The 20,309-nt window shown below is 54.4% G+C and overlaps 1 protein-coding gene across 4 annotated transcripts, besides 3 other annotated features; it reads right to left on the bottom strand.

Moving 5' to 3' along the window:
- Positions 268-18,025, bottom strand: ASL (argininosuccinate lyase). 4 transcript variants are annotated; one of them, NM_000048.4, is made up of 17 exons: positions 17,988-18,025; positions 17,751-17,805; positions 11,847-12,041; positions 11,393-11,476; positions 10,908-10,964; positions 10,670-10,767; positions 7,182-7,259; positions 7,023-7,100; positions 6,458-6,510; positions 6,053-6,115; positions 4,923-5,037; positions 4,669-4,753; positions 4,509-4,568; positions 4,149-4,232; positions 1,758-1,838; positions 1,181-1,287; positions 268-1,076 (listed from the first exon to the last, which is right to left on the bottom strand). In NM_000048.4, exons 2-17 carry the CDS (start codon positions 17,760-17,762, stop codon positions 932-934), a joined length of 1,395 nt encoding a protein of 464 aa, NP_000039.2. In that variant the 5' UTR covers positions 17,763-17,805; positions 17,988-18,025; the 3' UTR covers positions 268-931. The 4 variants fall into 4 exon arrangements, with proteins under 4 accessions (NP_000039.2, NP_001020114.1, NP_001020115.1 ...); NM_001024943.2 differs by having other exon boundaries at positions 17,751-18,025; NM_001024944.2 differs by lacking the exon at positions 4,509-4,568 and having other exon boundaries at positions 17,751-18,025.
- Positions 6,913-7,540: an enhancer, noted in NCBI's record as "H3K4me1 hESC enhancer chr7:65551291-65551918 (GRCh37/hg19 assembly coordinates)". NCBI's record gives its function as "activates a minimal SCP1, AML or CMV promoter by ChIP-STARR-seq in naive H9 embryonic stem cells {active_cell/tissue: H9 hESC(naive)}" and the evidence as "EXISTENCE:reporter gene assay evidence [ECO:0000049][PMID:30033119]".
- Positions 17,475-17,754: an enhancer, noted in NCBI's record as "active region_26080". NCBI's record gives its function as "activates an Ori minimal core promoter by ATAC-STARR-seq in GM12878 lymphoblastoid cells {active_cell/tissue: GM12878}" and the evidence as "EXISTENCE:reporter gene assay evidence [ECO:0000049][PMID:35858748]".
- Positions 17,855-18,384: a silencer, noted in NCBI's record as "silent region_18203". NCBI's record gives its function as "represses an Ori minimal core promoter by ATAC-STARR-seq in GM12878 lymphoblastoid cells {active_cell/tissue: GM12878}" and the evidence as "EXISTENCE:reporter gene assay evidence [ECO:0000049][PMID:35858748]".

Below are 20,309 nucleotides of genomic sequence, written 5' to 3'. Positions count from 1 at the left end.
CTGGAGTGCAGTAATGCAGTCTTGGCTTGCTGCAACCTGTCTCCTGGGTTCAAGCAATTCTCCTGCCTCAGCCTCCCGAATAGCTGGGATTATGGGCATGCGCCACCACGCCCGGCTAATTTTTGTATTTTTATTAGAGATGGGGTTCCACTATGTTGGCCAGGCTGGTCTTGAACTCCTGGTCTCAAGTGATCCACCAGCCTCAGCCTCCTACAGTGCTGGGATTACAGGTGTGAGCCACCGCGCCCAGTTTGGCTAGTTGTTTTGTTTTTGCTTTCATTCATGTTTTTTTTAATATGGTAGTTGGAGTCTTCCTGTTGCCCAGGCCTCCCAAAATGCTAGGATTACAGGCGTGAGCCATCGCTCCTGGCCTAGGAGGTCACTGTGATACCCTGTCTGAAGGGGATGGGGCCTGGACAGAGCAGAGGCTATGATGGGAGCCCCCTCTTCCCTTCCCGTCTACGACTCTCATTGCCCTTGCCCAGTTTTCTCCGCTTCCATTTATTTTTCGTTTATTTATTTATTTTTAGAGATAGGTTCTCACTCTGTTATCCAGGCTGGAATGCAGTGGCGTGATCATAGCTCACTGCAGCCTCCACTCCTGGGCACAAGTGTCCTCTCACCTCAGCCTTACAAGTAGCTGGGACTATATGCATGGGCCACCACGCCAGGCTATTTGTTTTATTATTGAGTAGAGATGGGGGTCTCCCTGTGTTGCCCAGGCTGTGTCAAACTCCTGGCCTCAAGCATCCTCGCACCTTGCCCTTCCAAAGTGCTGGGATTACAGGCCACCCTGCCCTGCCTCTCCAGTCCCTGACTGTCCCCACTGGCCAGCCCCGAAAGCCCAGCAACGAGGGAGCCAGGCTGGGGCAGGAAACACACAGCAGCCTCCTCTCGCGCCCACTTTATTAGGGGGCAGGTGTGGGAGGACCTAGGCCTGCTGTGCCTGCAGTAGCGCCCGCACCTGGCGGATCTGCCAGTCGACGCTGGAGCGCGCAGTGCCGCCCAGGGCACCATACTGCTCCACACTGTGCCCGTAGTCCCACACGCAGATCACGTCGCCCGAGAACAGGGGGCTGGGGAGAGAGGAAGAGGTGGGCCAGGGCGCCAGGCCACCCTGGGCTCCAGGCACCCAGGCTCACTTCCTAGGAGGCAGCATGGGGAAGGGGATGGGCCGTACCTGATGGTCTGCAGCTCCTGCAGTGACAGCTGGTTGAGGGCGACCCCCTTGGTCTCGGCCATGAACACAGCTTTCCCGGAGGCCTCGTGGGCCTGGCGGAATGGCATCTGGGTGCCAGGGAGGAAGATGGCGCTGAGGCAGGTTTCTCCATGCCCTGATCTGCCTCCATTGCCTGCACCCCCTTCCTTTTTTTTTTTTTTTTCTTTTTGACACAAAGTCTCGCTCTGTTGCCCAGGCTGGAGTGCAGTGGCGCGATCTCACCTCACCGCAAACTCCACCTCCCAGTTCAATCAATTCTCCTGCCTCAGCCTCCCGAGTAACTGGGATTACAGGAGTGTGCCACCACACCCAGCTAATTGTTGTATTTTTACATCAAAAGAGACGGGGTTTCACCATGTTGACCAGGCTGGTCTCGAACTCCTGGCCTCAAGTGACCCGCCCACCTCGGCTTCCCAAAGTGCTGGGATTACAGGGGTGAGCCACCAGGCTGGGCCGCTTGCACCCATTCCTGAGCTCCCCCACCCTCTGGGGGGGGCACCCCATCTCCTCACCCTCCCCCTGGCTGCTACACACTTACCCCTTTGCGGACCAGGTAATAGGCAAGGTCAGTGGCCAGCATGTCGGGGCTGAGAGCCTGTCCCATGTTCTCTTGGTGAATCTGGGGGCACAGGTGGGCGAGTGGTGAGCCCTGGGGACCCTGGGATCTGAAGCTGCCAGGCCCAGGACCTGCCCCTCTGCCAGGACATCCCTGCCTTGGGCAGATACTCTCTTACCCACTCGGCTCTGTCTCACTCTCAACTTGAACCATCTTCTCATAATTATCGATAATATTTACATGTGCTATGAACACTTACTGGCCTGTATGTTTTACTGGCCTTTATGTTTTCAAAGAGTCCTTATCTTCAGCATGCATCAGATGTTCCTGGAGGATTTGTTTTCTGTTTTAGGAGACAGGGTCTTGCTCTGTTGTCCAGGCTGGAGTGCAGTGGCCATTATAGCCCTCTGCAGCCTGGACTCAAGGGATCTTCCAGCCTCAGCCTCCCAAGTAGCTGGGACTACAGCCATGCACACCACCGTGCCTAGCTAATTTGTTGTTGTTGTTTTGGGCTTTTTTGAGACAGGGTCGCCCATGTTGGAGTGCAATGGCACAATCCTGGCTCTCTGCATCCTTGAGCTCCTGGGCTCAAGGGATCCTCCCACATCAGTCTCCTAAGTGGCTGGGACCACAGGTACACGCCATCACGACTGGCTAATTTAATTTTTTTAATTTTACAGACAAGGTCTCGCTATGTTGCTCAGGCTGGTTTTGAACTCCTGGGCTCAAGCGCTTCTCCTGCCTCAGCTTCTCAAAGTGCTGGGATTACAAGCATGAGCCACCAGGCCTAGCCACTGGAGAATTTACTAAGAAAAATACAAATTGCTGGGGAGCACCCCCAGAGTCTCTGATTCAGCCATCTGGAGTGGGGCCTCACATCACATTTCTCAGGACTTCTGAGGTGATGCTGGTGCTGCTAGTTGGGGGACTAGCCTCCAGAAACACTGCCTTTTTTTTTTTTTTTTTTTTTTGAGATGGAGTCTTGCACTGTCACACAGGCTGGAGCGCAGTGGCGTGATCTCTGCTCACTGCAGTCTCCATCTCCCGGGTTCAAGCAATTCTCCTGCCTCAGCCTCCTGAGTAGCTGGGATTACAGGCGTGTACCACCACACCCAGCTAATTTTTATATTTTTAGTAAAGACGGGGTTTCGCCATGTTGGCCAGGCTGGTCTCGAACTCCTGACCTCGAGTGATCTGCCCACCTTAGTCTCGCAAATTGATGGGATTACAGGCATGAGGCTCTGCACCCAGCCAAGAAACACTGATTTCAAGACATATCCTGAACTATTTAGGAATGAAATGATGTGATGATGGGAATTTGCTTCAAAATAAGGGGGTAAGGGAGTGGGAGAGAGCTGTGGGTAAAGACAGCTGGAGCCAGGATGTCCGTGAGTTGATTATCATTGAAGCTGGGTGTCGGTACATAGGGTTCATTATGCATTCTCTAGCTGTTATATACATAAATTTCCCATAATAATTGATTTTAAAAGAAATCAGCCAGGCAAAGTGGCTCATGCCTATAATCCCAGCACCTTGGGAGACCAAGGTGGGAGGATGGCTTGGGGCCAGGAATTTGAGACCAGCCTGGGAAACATAGGGAGACCCTGTCTCTACAAAAAATAAAAAAATTAGCCAGGCGTGGTGGCGCATGTTTGTAGTCCCAGCTACTCTGGAGACTGAGGTGGGAAGATCACTTGAGCCCAAGAGTTTGAGGCTGCAGTGAGCTACGACCGCACCACTGCACTCCAGCCTGGGCGACAGAGAGTGACCCTGTCTCTAAAAAATGTTTTTTAAAGATATTTAATTTAATTTAATTTAATTTATATATTTGTAGATGGAGTTTTACTCTGTGGTCCAGGCTGGAGTGCAGCGGCATGATCTTGGCTCACTACAACTTCCATCTCCTGGGTTCAAGCTATTCTTCTGCCTCCGCCTCCTGAGTAGCTGGGATTACAGGTGTGGGCCATCACGCCTGGCTAATTTTTGTATTTTTAGTAGAGACGTGGTTACGCCATGTTGGCCAGGCTGGTCTCAAACCCCTGACCTCAAGTGCTCCATCTGCCTCGGCCTCCCAAAGTGTGAGATTCCAGGCATGAGCCACTGCACCTGGCCTTTTGTTTAGATTTTCTTTTTTTAAAGAGTTCTGGTCAGGCCATTTGACAGGCCCCAGGCCCCCTGAGTCTCATCTACTTCCACTGCATGGCAGCAGTTTCTGTCCTTTCCCTGTTCCCCAGGAGCAGGAGCGAGCACACCTCTCCTTCCCTGCCCCAGGTCCTCCAGCCCCACCTCACCTCCTCCCAAGGCCACCCTCCCCGCATGCCCACCCCAGTGCCTGGGACCTAGGGGAGGAGAAGCAGGGGGGTGATGTCTTGCCTGCAGCGTAGAGATGACGCCAGTGGCCACCTGGAGCACGGCACTCATAGTGTCTGACACTTCAAACACAGCTTCCTTGTCCTCCTGGGAGGCACATGGCAGGAGGTGAGGGCCTAGCAGCCCCCTGGCACCCAGGGTCCCCACAGCCCCACCCCCCCACTGAGGCATCCCCACTGCCTTCCATGGGAAGAACACTCAATACCCCAACAAAGGAAGGGCAGAGAGTTCAAGGGCAGCCACGGATGGAGCTGTGTGCACAGGATGGGAGGATGTATGGCAATCCCGGGGTGGGGCCCTGCCTGAGTGTGCCAGAGCCCTGAGAACTGGCACGTACTAGCCAGGCCTCCCCCGGCCTCGCACCTGTAAGTCTTTGTTGTAGGTGCTGGGAAGTCCCTTGAGGGTCATCAGGAGCCCGGCACACTGCGGGAAGAGGGAGGCACAGGGGCTGGACCCGGGATCCTGCCCCCCTGGCCACCCACCATCAGCCCAGAGGCCCCGCCCCTCCCCCTGCCTTGCTCACCCGCCCAAACACACGCCCAGCCTTGCTCCGGATCAGCTCCAAACTGTCGGGGTTTTTCTTCTGGGGCATCAGGCTGCTTCCCGTGCTGGGGACAGAGGTGCTGGCGCTGAAGGGGCTGGACCCTTGGCTGGTCCAGCGCCGCAATGGCCAGGTCTGGCGGAGGGGTGGGACGGGGAGGAAGGCAGCCACGTCCGCGGGCGGCGGGGGATACAGAGGCCGGCAGCGGCAGATGGAGGTGGCAGTTCAGGGCTTACCTGTAGGCATCTGAGAGCTGCACGAAGCTGAATTCCTTGGTGCAGTAGAGGATGAGGTCCTCGGCCATCCTGCTGAGATGGGTCATGCACAGCGAAGCCCAGAACAGGAACTCGGCTGGGAGAAAAGGTTCCCAGTCACCAGGCCTCTCCCATCCCCACCCAGCCTGACCATACAGGGGGCAGGAGGAGGTTAGGCGGTGGGGGGACCCGGCTAAATTTTCATTTTTCGCAAAGATGGGGTCGTGCTATGTCGCCCAAGCTGTTCTGAAACTTGTGGGCTCAAGCAATCCTTCTGCTTTGGCCTCCCAAAGTGCTAGGATTACAAACGTAAGCCATTGCACCTAGCGTGTTTTTTGTTATTGTTGTTGTTTTAAATAAACCAGCTTTACTGAGTTATCACTCACATACAATTTATCCATTTATTTATTTATTTATTTATTGAGATGGAGTCTCGCTCCCAATGCACAGGCTGGAGTACAGTGGCACAATCTTGGCTCACTGCAACCTCTACCTCCCAGGTTCCAGCGAATCTCCTTCCTTAGCCTCCCGAGTAGCTGGGATTACAGGCATGCACCACCATGCCCAGCTAATTTTTGTGCTTTTAGTAGAGATGGGGTTTCACCATGTTGGCCAGGCTGGTCTTAAACTCCTGACCTCATGTGATCCACCTGCCTCGGACTCCCAAAGTGCTAGGATTACGGGCGTGAGCCACCATGCCTGGCCTATTTATTTTTATTTTATTTTATTTTATTTTTTGAGATGGAGTTTCGCTCTTGTTGCCCAGGCTGGAGTGCACTGGCGTGATCTTGGCTCACTGCAGCCTCCGCCTCCTGGGTTCAAGTGATTCTCTGGCCTCAGAACTCCTGAGTAGCTGGGATTACAGGCACCTGCCACCACACACCCAGCTAAATTTTGTATTCTTAGTAGAGATGGGGTTTCACCATGTTGGCCAGTGCTGGGCATGGTGAACCACCATGCCCCACCCACTTTACCCATTTAAGGTTTATACTTCAGTGTACAATATCACCACAACCAGCCTGTCCGTGGAGGTGTGGGAGGAAACTGGAGAGAAGCTGGGCTGAAGGACTAAAGTGAGGCACAGGGCAGGGGACTGGCTCCCCAGGACTCACCCACAAAGTCCCGCTCACTAGTGGCATCCATGCTGTTGAGAGTGATGGCCCCAAAGTTGAGTTCTGGGGGGGTGGGAGGAAGCAGGGCTAAGCTGGAGGACAGGGAGTGGCCCCCTCTCCCCCAACTAGGTTGCCCAGCCCCCTCCCCTGATCAGGGTGGGGCAACAGCTGGGGGGAGGGATCTTTTGCACAGTCCCAGGAGGGAGGCAGGAGCCCTGAGTCTCTCAGTACCAGGCATCCCTGCCATGAGTGACCCCTGAACTTGATGACCTCAGTGCCCATAGGCAATGAATGAAGGTTTCACCAGGAGCCACAGGCCCCTGCCCTCTGGTTTCAGGTGTGTCTGCAGGTCTTGGCGGGTGCTGAGGGTGATTCTCCCTGGGGAGGAGGGGCAGGACGTCTCACCTGCTCGGAGCAGCTCTCGGTCCACACCCAGGGGATTGCCTGCAATGGCCCCACTGCAGGGACAGGGATTCATGGTGACCAGGGCTCCTGGCAGGCAGCCCTGACACACACACACACACACACACACACACACACACACACACGAACGCACACACAGAGAACCAAGTCCTGGTTGCCAGGGCAACCACCTGGCGCTTAGCCTCTTCCCTGGCCCAGTCTCCTTGGGTACAGAATACTTGTCCCCAAGTGTCCACAAAACACTTGTCCCCAAGCACTAAGTCACCCTGGGTGCAGGACACTTGTCTCCTGACACATGTTCCCACATGTCAGGCTGAGGGCAGCAGGCTGGGCTTGCCAGGAGCCTTGCTGGAGGGCTCTGGCCCTGCTCAGACACATTCAATGGCTTGGTCGTCACCTTAGCGAGAGCTGGGGCTCCATGCAGAGTCCCCCGCTGAGCAGATAAGGCGGTTTTCTGTCCCACTCTGCACTTCCCAGCTCTGTCAATCCCTAAGGCTATGCAGCAGCCACCCCCACCAGGCCCTCGGGGCACTGGAGCCTCACCCACCTCCCCAGGGGCAGGACATTGATCCGCTTCCGCACCTCCAGCAGCCGCTCAGAGTCTCGGGTCAGTGCCACGGCGTGGCTGTGGGAAGCCAGGGGCAGGAGGGTCAGGGCAGCCGGGGTCCTCCCCTCTAGCACAGCCCCTGCACCTCACCTGGCTCACCTCAGAATCCAGTGGCTCCAGCGGATGGGCTGGGCCCTCTGCAAATGGGTGTACCCCGGGAAGAGAACATCACGTTCCCTGTGGGAGAGGAGGAGCAGAAGCTCGGGTGGAGGCTCATGCAAGGCCTGCCTGTGACACTGGAACCCTGCAGGCCTGGGTCACCCCTGGAAAAAGTGTCACGCTGCAGCACTCCACCTGAATGAGGGATCTGGTGATCTCCCAGGGACAAATCAGTCTTAAGGGCAAAAGAAGCTGGAAGTGGGACCGTGTGAACCAAGGACTGGGCCTGAGCTGTGGGGCTTCCTGCAGTGAGGCTTTGCCAGAAACACCCCAAGTCCAGCCTCTGTCACTCAGCATCTCCGAGCAGGGGCCAGAATAGGGGAGGAGGCCCATGTTGGGTATGACTTGGCCGTGGGAGGTTTCGTTTGAGGACCCTAGAAATAGCTGGGGCTCATTCAAGGGCTGCTCTGAGCAGGTGAGATGCCCTGCACCTCATTCAAGTAGGCAGGGCAGAGGCAGAGGTGCTGTGAGTGATGGTCCTGTTTTCTTGTTGTTTTGTTTTGTTTTTATTTTTAGAGACAAGGTCTCGTTCTGTTGCCCAGACTGGAGTGCAGTGGCATGATCATAGCTCACTGCTGCCTCGATCTCCTGGGCTCAAGCGATCCTCCTGTCTCAGCCTCCTGAGTAGCTGGGACTAAAGGGACATGCCACCATGCCCAGCTAATTTTTAGTTTTTTGTAAAGATGGGGTCTTGTGGCCAGGCGCGGTAACTCACGCCTGTAATCCCAGCACTTTGGGAGGCCGAGGCGGGCAGATCACAAGGTCAGGAGATCGAGACCATCCTGGCTAACACGGTGAAACCCCATCTATACTAAAAATACAAAAAATTAGCCGGGCGTAGTGGTGGGCGCCTGTAGTTCCAGCTACTCAGGAGGGCTGAGGCAGGAGAATGGCATGAACCCAGGAGGCAGAGCTTGCAGTGAGTTGAGATTGCACCATTGCACTTCAGCCTGGGCGACAGAGCGAGACTCCGTCTCAAAAAAAAAAAAAAAGATGGGGTCTTGCTATGTTGCCCAGAGTGGTCTGAAACTCCTGGTTTCAGGCAGTCCTCCTGCCTTGGCCTCCCAAAGGGCTGGGATTACAGATATGAGCCACCATACCTGGCCTGTTTTTTTGTTGTTGTTGTTTTTGAGAAAGAGTTTCGCTCTTGTTGCCCAGGCTGGAATGCAGTGGCGTGATCTCGGCTCACTACAACCTCCACCTCCCAGGTCCAAGAGATTCTCCTGCCTCCCAAGTAGCTGGGACTACAGGTGCCCACCATCACACCCAGCTAATTTTGTGTATTTTTAGTAGAGATGGGGTTTCACCATGTTGGCCAGGCTGGTCTCGAACTCTTGACCTCAGGTGATTCACCCGCCTCAGCCTTCCAAAGTGCTGGGATTACAGGCGTGAGCCACAGCACCTGGCCTGTTGTTTTAAATAAACCAGCTTTACTGAGATATCATTCACAATTTACTCATTTAAAGTTTACACTTTACTGTACAACCATCACCACAACCAATTTTAGAACATTTTCATCACCCCATGAAGAAATTCTGTACTCAAGGCCAGGCACGGTGGCTCAAGTCTTTAATCCCAGCACTTTGGGAGGCCAAGAGGGAAGGATCACTTAAGGCCGGGAGTTTGAGACCAGCCTGAGCCACATAGTGAGACCCTGTTTCTACAAAAAATTTAAAGAATTCGCGGCTGGGCACGGTGGCTCACACCTGTAATCCCAGCACTTTGAGAGTCCGAGGTGGGTGGATCATGAGGTCGGGAGATTGAGACCATCCTGGCTAACATGGTGAAACCCCGTCTCTACTAAAAATACAAAAAATTAGCCGGGCGTGGTGGTGGGCACCTGTACTCCCAGCTACTCGGGAGGCTGAGGCAGGAGAATGGCGTGAACCTGGGAGGCAGAGGTTGCAGTGAGTGGAGATCACGCCACTGCACTCCAGCCTGGGCAACAGAGCAAGACTCTGTCTCACAGGTGGTGCACACCTGTGGTCCTAGCTACTCAGAAAGCTGAGGTGGGAGGATCATTTGAGTCCAGGAGTTTGAGACTGCAGTGAGCTATTACCAAGCCATTGCACTCCAGCCTAGGTGACAGAGCAGGATCTCATCTCTAAAGACAATTTAAAAAGTTAAAAATTTAAAAATTAAGCTGAGCGCAGTGGCTTATGGGTGTAATCCTAGCACTTTGGCAGGCCGACGCGGGCAGATCACCTGAGCTCAGGAGTTCAAGACCAGCCTGGTCAACATGGCAAAACCCATCTCTACTGAAAAAAATACAAAAATTAGCTGGACATGGTGGTGCACACCTGTAATCTCAGCTACTTGGGAGGCTGAGGCACTAGAATCACTTGAACCCAGGAGGCAGAGTTTGCAGTTAGCTCAGATAGCGCCACTACACTCCAGACTAGGTGACAGAGCAAAACCCTGTCTCAAAAAAAAAAAAACAACAACAAACAACAACAACAAAAAATTAAAGAAACCCTGAACTCAGTAGCAGACACTCCCTGTTCCTCCTAGCAGCCCCACACCACCTGCTGGGTGACAATTCTTGTGCCCTTGTTTTCCCCCAAGTCTGCACAACAGGGGTCACAGGGAGTTGAGGAAGAGGAGGGGTCTCTGACAACACATGGAGACTTCTCAGCAGCTCTTCGTCCAGGTCTGCAAGGAACAAATCCAGTCCCAAAGACACCAGGTCCCAGAAGCCAAAGCCTGAAATGAGGCCAGCAGGAGGCAGCCTTTGGCTCTGTCTTTTGCCAGATGGGCTGGATGGGGAGGCGAAGCTTAGGATGGGGGATCTGGGGGACAGGCAGTGTGGGGAGTGACTCTGGCTGCTCCAGGCACAGCCAAGCTAGCTGTGCTTGGCTTAGCTTCCTGCCTTCAAATCTGCAAATGGTGAGTTTTCTTTTTTTTTTTTCTTTTTTTTTGAGACAGGAGTCTCGCTCTGTAGCCCAGGCTGGAGTGCAATGGCGCGATCTCGGCTCATTGCAACCTCCTCCTCCCGGGTTCAAGCAGTTCTTCTGCCTCAGGCTCCCGAGTAGCTGGGATTACAGGCGCACACCACCACATTGCCTAATTTTTGTATTTTTAGTAGAGACAGAGTTTTCCCATGTTGGCCAGGCTGGTCTCGAACTCCTGACCTCAGGTGATCCACCCACCTCGGCCTCCCAAAGTGCTGAGATTACAGGCGTGAGCCACCGCACCCAGCCCCACGAAGGGTTAGTCTTCTCTGCCTGCTGAGCTAGACTGGCATGGGAGTATTGGGGCCTGCAGGAAATGGCCCACTCCTGGCTGCTCTGCCTCGATCCTGGAGTTCTGGGATGCCCCTGTCCCCCAGGGCCTGGCACCCCCACGCTGTTCACCCCTGCCCCCTAGGTCTCCTGTTCAGGCTTCCATCACACCTCTGTCTGCCCCCTGGGTGTCCCTGTAGGACTCACGCCTCTGCCCGATCCACCATGGTCCTAATGAGCTCCCAGAGGAGGCCCGAGAGCGTGGAGCAGGTCTGCCGCATCCACAGCCTGAGGTCTGTGACCACCTGTGCAAGGAGGAGATGGTGCTCAGGGAGGCCGATGTGTTGCTTCCCTGAGGAGCCAGGACCGCTGCAGAACTCTAACTGCCCCCTGGGCTCCTCAAGGTTGGGACAACACGGAGCAGGGGGTGGAGGGGCTAAAGCACCTGGTCATTCCGGCTCCGTCCCGTGTGCAGCTTCCCTGCCGTTGCACCAATGAGCTCCTGGAGGTGAAGGGAGACCCAGGGTCACGGTCTATACCCCCAGAGGAGTCAACCCAGGCAGGGCAGTTTTCCTCATCAGCCCTGCCAACCTACCTCCATACCCCAGGGCTCCGGGTCCTCCCCAAATCTCTCGCCATTTCTGCTGAGGCCTGTTCTTTTTTTCTTTTCTTTTTTTAATTTTTGTAGCTGTGGGACCTCATTATGTTGCCCAGGCTGGTCTCGAACTCCTGGTCTCAAGCAATCCTCCCACCTCAGCCTCCCAAAGTGCTAGGATTATAGGCATGAGCCAGGGTGCCTGGCTCATGTCCTGAGGTCTCACATGCTGTCTGCCAATGGCGAAGTAAACAGAATGGTGCTAATGCTCAAAGTGGCCCTGGGCAAGGTGGAGAGGGGAGGCAAGGAAAGCGGTGGGGCTCCAGGGGTCGTACCTTCAGGCGGCGCTCATTGGCTGTGTGGATGTCCTCATCATTGGAGTTCAGTTTGAAGGTGCCCTGGGCCCACTCCTCAGCCACCTGTAGTGGGTAGCAGCAATGCCGGGGTCAGGTGAGCAGGCATCAGCAGCCAAGAGAGCCCCTGCCTTGGTCCCACCCTATCCCTGGTGACTGACTGTCCCTGCCCAGGAGCTGAGTCCTGGAAGCGCACCCTGGGAGGGGGCATCTCAGGCCCAGCACACCTTTACCCATGAGCCATGTGGGCCACAGGGGTCATTAAAGGATGGAGAGAGGCAGTCATCAAGGCACACAGTTAAACAGCACTTGAGTATATAATTAGTTCAATGTGAAACCACAGATGGGCAACACTGCACTGTTTGCTCAGGGATTTGGTGGGAGCCTGGGGCCACAGGGAAGGGGCCTTGGGTGGGGCTTGGGCCACGGCAAGTACCTTGTCTAGGCCATGGAGTATCTGGTCCATCTCGGCCTTGGTGAGGAGCCCTGCCTTCTCCAGGCCCCTGCTGTAGGCTTTGCTGCCTTGAACATCCACCTCCCAAAGGTGCCGGTCGTAGGCAATGGACGCGTTGAACTTCTCCATGATGGGGTCCACTGCACCCACAAACCGGCCACCCCAAAGCTTCCCACTCTGGCCAGGAGAGCAAGAACAATTAGTCTCTCCTCCACCCTCCAGAACAGTGCTTCTTGCAAAGAGTCTTTGGGAAACTTATCAAGTCTGATGGTAGCAGGGGCATCAGATCATTCTAACTGGGCAGACAAGGAGGCTGAGACCTTCCCAGAGTCACCACCCTGGGAGTGAGCATGGGAACATGGCTGAACACCAAAAGTTTGGGTTCTTTTTTTTTTTTTTTGAGACAGAGTCTCACTTTGTCGGCCAGGCTGGAGTACAGTGGTGCCATCTCAGCTCACTGCAAACTCTGCCTCCCAGGTTCAAGAGATTCTCCTGCCTCAGACTCCCAAGTAGCTGGGATTACAGGCACGTGCCACCACACCCAGCTAATTTTTGTATCATTAGTAGAGATGGGGTTTCACCATGTTGGCCAGGCTGGTCTTGAACTCCTGACCTCAGGTGATCCTCCCATCTTGGCCTCTGAAAGTGCTAGGATTACAGGCATGAGCCACTGTGTGTGGCCTTGAAGTTGGGGTTCTTTCCCACCACATGGCACCCCTCCAAGGAGATGATGGCAGGGCCTGAGACACCCCTGGGACCACAGCAGAACTTCTGGAACCTTTCCCACCACTGACCAAGGTGCTAGGTGCCATCCTAATTGTTGACACAACCCTCTGGGTAGGCACCAATACAATTCCACTATGAAGATGGGGAAACTGAGGCACAGAGCAGCCTGCTCTCACCTGGGGTGGGATAGCCAGGGCTGCGGCCCAGCAGTCTGAAGTCAGAACCTATGCTTTTCACCCCTGTTCCACCAGGGCTTCTGGACTTGGCTCTGGTGTCCAGAACCTTTGCTGCAGGGACAGGCAAAGAGGCCTTGAGGGTCTCCACCAAGCTTAAGTGCCCTGCAACTCTCTCCCTCACAGCTTGGAGCTGGACTAAGATCCCAATTCCTACCACTCCCTTGGCTCTGAAAAGCACCCTGACACCCCCCATTGTCACTGGCCTTCTAGGAGGTCACTGGGTGATCCCTTACTCCCCAGGAGCCAAGGGCAGAGGAATGGTATGTAGGCATCTATGTTTTGTTCGTTTTCTTTGAGATAGAGTCTCACTCTGTTGCCTAGGCTGGAGTGCAGTGGCGTGATCTCGGCTCACTGCAACCTCCACCTCCCGGCTTCAAGCCAATTTTCCTGCCTCAGCCTCCCGAGTAGCTGGAATTTCAGGCGTGTGCCACCACACCTGGCTGAGTTTTATATTTTTAGTAGAGACGGGGTTTCACCATGTTGGTCAGGCTGGTCTCGAACTCCTGATCTCAGGTGATCCCCTGACCTTGGCATCCCGAAGTGCTTGGGATTACAGGCATGAGCCACTGTGCCGAGCCTGTTTTGTTCATTAAAAAAATCTTTTTTAATTCTTTTTTTTTTTTTTTTTTTTTGAGATGGAGTCTCTCTTTGTCACCCAGGCTGGAGTGCAGTGGCAGGATCTTGGCTCACTGCAAGCTCCACCTCCCAGATTCACGCCATTCTCCTGCCTCAGCCTCCTGAGTAGCTGGGACTACAGGTGCCCACCACCATGCCTGGCTAATTTTTTGTATTTTTTTTTTTCAGTAGAGACGTGGTTTCACCTTGTTAGCCAGGATGGTCTTAATCTGACCTCGTGATCTGCCCACCTCGGCCTCCCAAAGTCCTGGGATTACGGGTGTGAGCCACCACACCCGGCCTTTAAATTCTTTTTTAGACACAGGGTCTCACTTTGTTACCCAGGTTGGAGTGCGGTGGCACCATCATAGCTCACTGCAGCCTCAAACTCCTGGTCTCAACCAATCCTCTTGCCTCAGCCTCCCCAATAGTTGGGACTACAAGCATGCGCCACCACACCCAGACATTTTTTTAAAATTTTATAGGACTGGGAGTGGTGGCTCATGCCTGTAATCCCAGCATTTTGGAAGGCTAAGGTGGGTGGATCATGAGGTCAGGAGACAGAGACCATCCTGGTCAACATGGTGAAACCTGGTCTCTACTAAAAATACAAAAATTAGCCAGGCGTGGTGGCACTCGCCTGTAGTTCCAGCTACTTAGGAGGCTGAGGCAGGAGAATCGCTTGAACCCGGGAGGCGGAGGTTGCAGTGAGCCAAGATCACGCCACTGCACTCCAGCCTAGGTGACAGAGCAAAACTCTGTCTCAAAATAAATAAATAAATGAACAAAATAAAATAAAATAAAATAATTGGTAGAGACAGGGTCTCACTATGTTGCCCAGGCTGGTCTTGAATTCCTGGGCTCAAGCTGTCCTCCAGCCTCAGCTTCCCAAAGTGCTGAGATTATAGGCATGAGCCTAGGCGCCAGCCACATCTATGTTTTGAAAGAGGGCAGAGGCCAGGGCATGGGACAGAGTGGGGAGGGGGTACAGAACACCTGGGGAGCAGCCCTAGTGCCCAGGACTGGGAGGAGGGTGGGGTAGAGGTGGGCATGTCACTTCACTGACGTCCTTTTTGTGGAAGGGAGTCTACAATGGCCAATGGGGACATATATCCTCCTCTGTCCCCCTACAATGCCCCAGACTTCTATTAACCACCTGGCCTGGCACCTATTATTAAACCTCAGGGGCTGGGCGTGGTGGCTCACACCTATAATCCTAGCACTTTGGGAGGCTGAGGTGGGCAGATCACGAGGTCAGGAGATGGAGACCATCCTGGCTAACATGGTGAAACTCCGTCTCTACTGAAAACACACACAAAAAAATTAGCCAGGCATGGGGGTGTTGGGCGCCTGTAGTCCCAGCTACTTGGGAGGCTGAGGCAGGAGAATGGCGTGAACCCGGGAGGCGGAGCTTGCAGTGAGCTGAGATCGTGCCACTGCACTCCAGCCTGGGCGACAGAGCAAGACTCTGTCTCAAAACAAAAACAAAAACAAAAACCCTCAGGGTTGGGAGGCCCAGGCAGGTGGATCGCTTGAGGTCAGGAGTTCGAGATCAGCCTGGCCAACATGGTGAAACCTCATCTGTACTAAAAATATAAACATTAGCCAGGCGCGGTGGCAGGAAGCTGTAGTCCCAGCCACTTGGGAGTCTGAAGCAGGAGAATCACTTGAATCCTGGAGGTAGAGGTTGCGGTGAGCAGAGATGGCGCCATTGTACTCCAGCTTGGGCGACAGAGCAAGACTCCTTCTTAAAAATAATAATAATAATAATAATAAGATAAGGATAATAATAGTACCTCTCTGATAGCCTTATTGTGAGCATTTAATCAGATAATATTTGCAAATTGCATACATAACACGGTGCCTGGTGCTCAGGAAGGACTCGAGAAATGCCAGCTGTTACTAAGGGAGGGCTGGCAGGGGATAGGACATGCTTCAGCTCCACTCCTGGTTCCTGTATGCACCCCAGAGACCTCTCCAGTGCTCTGGCCCTGAGCTGTGAGCTGACTCCTCTATGCCCAACAGTCCCGACTGCCAAAGGACTCTGCCCTGCAGAGGCAGCCTCCGCCCCCACCCCATCTTTGAGCTGGTCCTGCCCCTTACCCCACAGCTGCCCCACCAAGCCTAGATCTCCAGCAAAGCACCACGTGGGGCCCTGGTCCTGATCACTGGAGCCAGCCAGTCAGAATTGGGGCCAGCCTGCCCCTCAGCCAGGAGCCTGGCACCGCCTCCCCCAGCGGGCTCCTGGGCCACCCTGCCTAGGTTGTTAGTAATAAAAATAACTACTTAATAAGTGGAGCTGCAGCCAAACCAATTAGTGCCAACCTACAGGAAGGCCTGGGGCAACCTGAGGTCACCTAGAACACTGGGCTTGTTGGAAGCCAGACCACTCTGCTCTAGAACCAAACTCCTATCCTTACTGGCAGGCATAAGAGGACCCCACAGGGAGATCAGAGTGAGGTGCCTCCCCTTGGGCACTGAGGAGAGTGGAGGCCTAGTGTGGTAGCAGAAGGTGCTACTCCAAGCCAGGACACATCTGGGCCAGAATGGTCTCTTCAGGGCCAGGGGATGGGGCACTGAGTTGGGCTGGGTTGAATGAGCAACAGTTAAGGTCGAATGTACATGGGAAATACCAGTTTTGGTTTTGGGACTTGTGGGTTTTTTTTCTTTTTTTGAGGTGGAGTCTTGCTTTGTCGCCCAGGCTGGAGTGCAGTGGTGCGATCTCAGCTCACTGCAACCTCCGCCTCCCGAGTTCAAGCGATTCTCCTGCCTCAGCCTCCCGAATAGCTGGGACTACAGGCACCCACCACTACACCCAGCTAATTTTTGCATTTTTAGTAGAGACGGGGTTTCACCATGTTGGCCAGGCTGGTCTCAAACTCCTGACCTCAGGTGATCTGCCCACCTCGACCTCCCAAAGTGCTGGGATTACAGGTGTGAGCCACCATGCCTGCCAGGTTTTTTTATTTTTATTTTTTTGAAACTGGATCTCACTCTGTTGCCTGGGCTGGAGTGCAGTGGTGAGATCATGCTCACTGCAGTCTCAAACTCCTGGGCTCAAGCAATCCTCATGCCTCCGCCTCCTGTGAGACTACAGGTGTACGCCACCACACCTGGGTAATTTTCAAAATCTTTTTGTAGAGACAGGGTCTCATTACATTGCCCTGGCTGGTCTGGAATTCCTGGGCTTCAGCAGTCCTCCCGCCTCGGCCTCCCAAAGTAGAAATATCAGTATTGTTGTGGTTAGCCACCATTTATTGAGCACCTACTGTTGCTCAGCCCTGTGCTAGGGATTTCACATATGTTATTACGGCCTTTTATGAGGTGGGCAATATTACCCCTATTTCACAAATGAGGAAAGAGGTTTAAAGGGCTCAAGTGACTGGTACAGAAACCAAGTCTGTTTGGCTCCAAAGTCCAGGCCCTACCCCCCTGCCATGACCCAGAAGCTTGCAGGGCACTGAGCTTGCAGGGCATTGAGAAAGAGGAAGTGAATTGCTAGCTAATGAAGGCCAAAAGGGCCTGGAACCCAGACCTCCTGCTTCCCGGAGTTCCCTTCATCAAGCATCAGGCGAACAGCCCCTCTCACCTGAAGGGTCCAAAGCAATGGCCTCATAATCTAGTGCCTTACAGAGTGAGGCCGACAGCTATTATTACCCCCATTGCCAGATAAATCAACTATGGCCCAAGGAAGGAAAACCTCTGCCTGGGAATCCAGCATCTCAGTGGTCAGGAGGAGAGGCCAGGAGCCACTGACCCTAAGAGGCAGGGTCCAGTGAGACAGGAAGGGACCAGGCACCAGGGTTGCTGGAGCCACGAGGCGACGTCCCCTTTTTCCTGGCTCTTTCCACATGCCACAGTCAAGGACAAGAACACTTAGGGGCTGAGCTTTATTCTATAAACAGGGACAATTGCTCTAGCAGGAGAAGGGATGTGGTGTGGGGTGGGACCTGACAGGAGGACACGTGGTAAGAAGGAAGGAAGAGTTGGAAGGCTGAAGGCTTGGGAGCCACTTTTCCTGGCCAGGCAGGCATCACTGTGAGGTGAGGGCAGAGCCACTCTACCCCTAGTAGTGTGGGTTGGTGGGTTTGCCACAAGGGCTGCCTGCGGATACTGGTGAGTCCTGGTAAAGGTGACTGCTGGGCTCCAGATGATGCGCCCGGGAGGGCTGGGGGTGCAGGCTTCCTAGGTAATTTTCAAAATTGCTTCCTGGAGGGCGATTCCCAGCAGGGTGGCCCGAGGCAGGTCTGGCGCCCCCACTCTCTCCTTTGGAGGCTAGGAGGACCGGAGTCCCCGAGGTCCCACTCACCTCCGAGGCCATGTTGGGCGGTTCCTCGTCGTCCGGAAGCTTCGGTCCTCCGGGTCTGGAAGACAAGACCGGACTGACGACCTCCTTGGCCAGCAGGGTCCCCCGGGCCGGGCTGGCTCCGAGTTCTGGGCACTGCGCTTGAGGGAGCGCAGCCCTTGGGGACGCGGACGTGAGCGCGCGCCACGGTGCTCGGCGTCCTCCACGCCCGTCCCGCCCATCCGGCCGCCGCGCACTCACCTCCGCCTGGCCGCACGGATAGTGTCGCGCCCGCCACTGGCCAGGGCTTTTCTGGCCGGGATGGCGTCAGCAGCCGCCGGTCCTGTCCCCACCCCTGGCGACGGCCGCGCCAATAGGAGGCCGCCCGGCGGGGTGGGCGTTGCCTCCATCCTCCAATCCTGGCCGTGGGCGGGGATACCTCCCGCTGAGCTGGAGGCTAAGCGGCCCCGGGGCGGGGAAGCGGGCGGGGAAAGGGTTGGGGGGACCCCGACGGGGAAGGGGCCTGGGCTGGGGTTGAGGAGGGTAGTGCGCTGGCGTTCGTGCTGTGGTCAGCAGACACGCAGGGGACTGGAGACTCGGGCCAGGGGTAGAGGCTATGACATCAGGCCCGGGCCTGGCAGGTTCACAAGATATATAAGGTGAAATGGCATGTTCGCTCATTCACTCATTCATTCATTCATTCAACAAACACGTACCAGGCACCTCTATGTGCCAGGTACAGAGAAAGGCATCAAGGAAAAAGGAAGGACCATCAGAAATGAAGCCTGTGCCAGGCGCGGTGGCTCACAGCTGTAATCCCAGCACTTTGGGAGGCCGAGGTGGGAGGATCGCTTGAGGCTACGAGTTGGAGACCAGCCTGGGCAATACAACAAGATCCCGTCTCTACAAAAAAATTAATAATAATAAAAAAAAAGCCGGGCGTGGTGGTGCACGCCTGCAGTCCTAGCTACTCAGGAGGCTGAGGCGGGAGGAGCACTTGAGCCCAGGAGTTCGAAGCTGCAGTGAGCTATTGTGCCACGGCACTCCAGCCTGACTCCTCTAAAAAAGAAAAGAAACGCGGCCGGAGGCCGGGCGCGGTGGCTCACGCCTGTAATCCCAGCACTTTGGAAGGCCGAGGCGGGTGGATCACGAGGTCAGGAGTTTGAGACCAGCCTGGCCAAGGTGGTGAAACCCCGTCTCTACTAAGAATACAAAAATTAGCCGGGCACGGTGGCGGGTGCCTGCAATCCCAGCGACTCCGGAGGCTGAGGCAGGAGAATCTCTTGAACCCGGGAGGCGGAGATTGCAGTGAGCTGAGATGGTGCCATTGCACTCCAGCCTGGGTGACAGAGCAAGATTCTGTCTCAAAAAAAAAAAAAAAAAAAAAAAGAAAGAAAGAAAGAAAGAAAGAAAAGAAAAGAAAAAAGAAACGCAGCCGGGCACAGTGGCTTACGCCTTTAATCCCAGCACTTTGAGAGGCTGAGGCGGGCGGATCACCTGAGGTCAGGAATTCGAGATGAGCCTGGCTGACATGGTGAAACCTTGTCTCTATTAGCCGGGTGTGGTGGTGGGTGCCTGTAGTCCCAGCTACTCCGACAGCTGAGGCAGGAGAATCACTTGAACCAGGGAGGTGGAGGCTGCAGTGAGCTGAGACGGCACCACTGCACTGCAGCCTGGGCGACAGTGAGACTCTTGTCTCGAAAAAAAAAAAAAAAAAAGAAAGAAAGAAAGAAAAAGAAAAAGAGAAGAGAAAACAAAGAAAGAAACGAAACAAAAGAAATGAAGCCTGACTTCAAGAAGTTCCAACATAGCATGGAGGAGGTGTGCAGGGAGCACAGGCGTTGGGGAGGGGGGCTATGTTGGGTACTCAGGGAAGAGGTCCTTGATCTGATTAATTAATTATTCAACCAAAATGTCAGGCTGGATTCTAGGCACTGGAAGTACCCTGAAGGGGCTTCTAATGAACCTGTCTTCTGCATTGGGTCTTGGAAGATGGGGGGAATTTGCCCAGGGAAGAAGGGGAGAACATTCCAGGCAGAGGGAGAAGTCTGGACAAAAAATGTGACTGGCCTGCTTTAAGAACAGGAAATCATCCAAGTGGCTGTAACTATAACAAAAGGTAGGGAGGAGAGGTGGAAGGAGTTTGGGAGAAGGCTGTGAAGAGTCTTCAATGTCAAGAGAGGGAGTTTGTTCTTGGTCCTATAGGTCATAGGAAACCCCGATCGATTTTAAAATCAGAGGAGCCAAATTTATTTTATTTTATTTTATTTTTATTTATTTTTTTGAGATGGAGTTTCGCTCTTATTGCCCAGGCTAGAGTGCAATGGCACGGTCCCAGCTCACTGCAACCTCTGCCTCCCAGGTTCAAGCGATTCTCCTGCCTCAGCCTTCCAAGTAGCTGGGGTTACAGGCATGCACCACCACGCCTGGCTAATTTTATATTTTTAGTAGAGATGGGGTCTCTCCATGTTGGCCAGGCTGTTCTTGAACTCCTGACCTCAGGTGATCTGCCCGCCTCAGCCTCCCAAAGTGCTGGGATACAGGGGTGAGCCACTGCGCCCGGCTGAAACCCCATGTTAAAAA

This window comes from Homo sapiens, chromosome 7 (assembly GCF_000001405.40).
Source record: "Homo sapiens chromosome 7, GRCh38.p14 Primary Assembly".
NCBI classification, from domain to species: domain Eukaryota; kingdom Metazoa; phylum Chordata; class Mammalia; order Primates; family Hominidae; genus Homo; species Homo sapiens.
The sequence above is the reverse complement of the archived record's forward strand: the minus strand, read 5'-3'. Positions and strand labels throughout refer to the sequence as shown.

Excerpts from the sequence above, each read along its gene's own strand:
- ASL (NM_001024943.2), bottom strand. Across the intron at positions 4,754-4,922 it reads CAGCTCTCAGATGCCTACAG|CACGGGAAGCAGCCTGATGC; the intron begins GTAAGCCCTGAA and ends CTCTGTCCCCAG. Across the intron at positions 1,288-1,757 it reads ATTACCTGGTCCGCAAAGGG|ATGCCATTCCGCCAGGCCCA; the intron begins GTAAGTGTGTAG and ends CCTGGCACCCAG.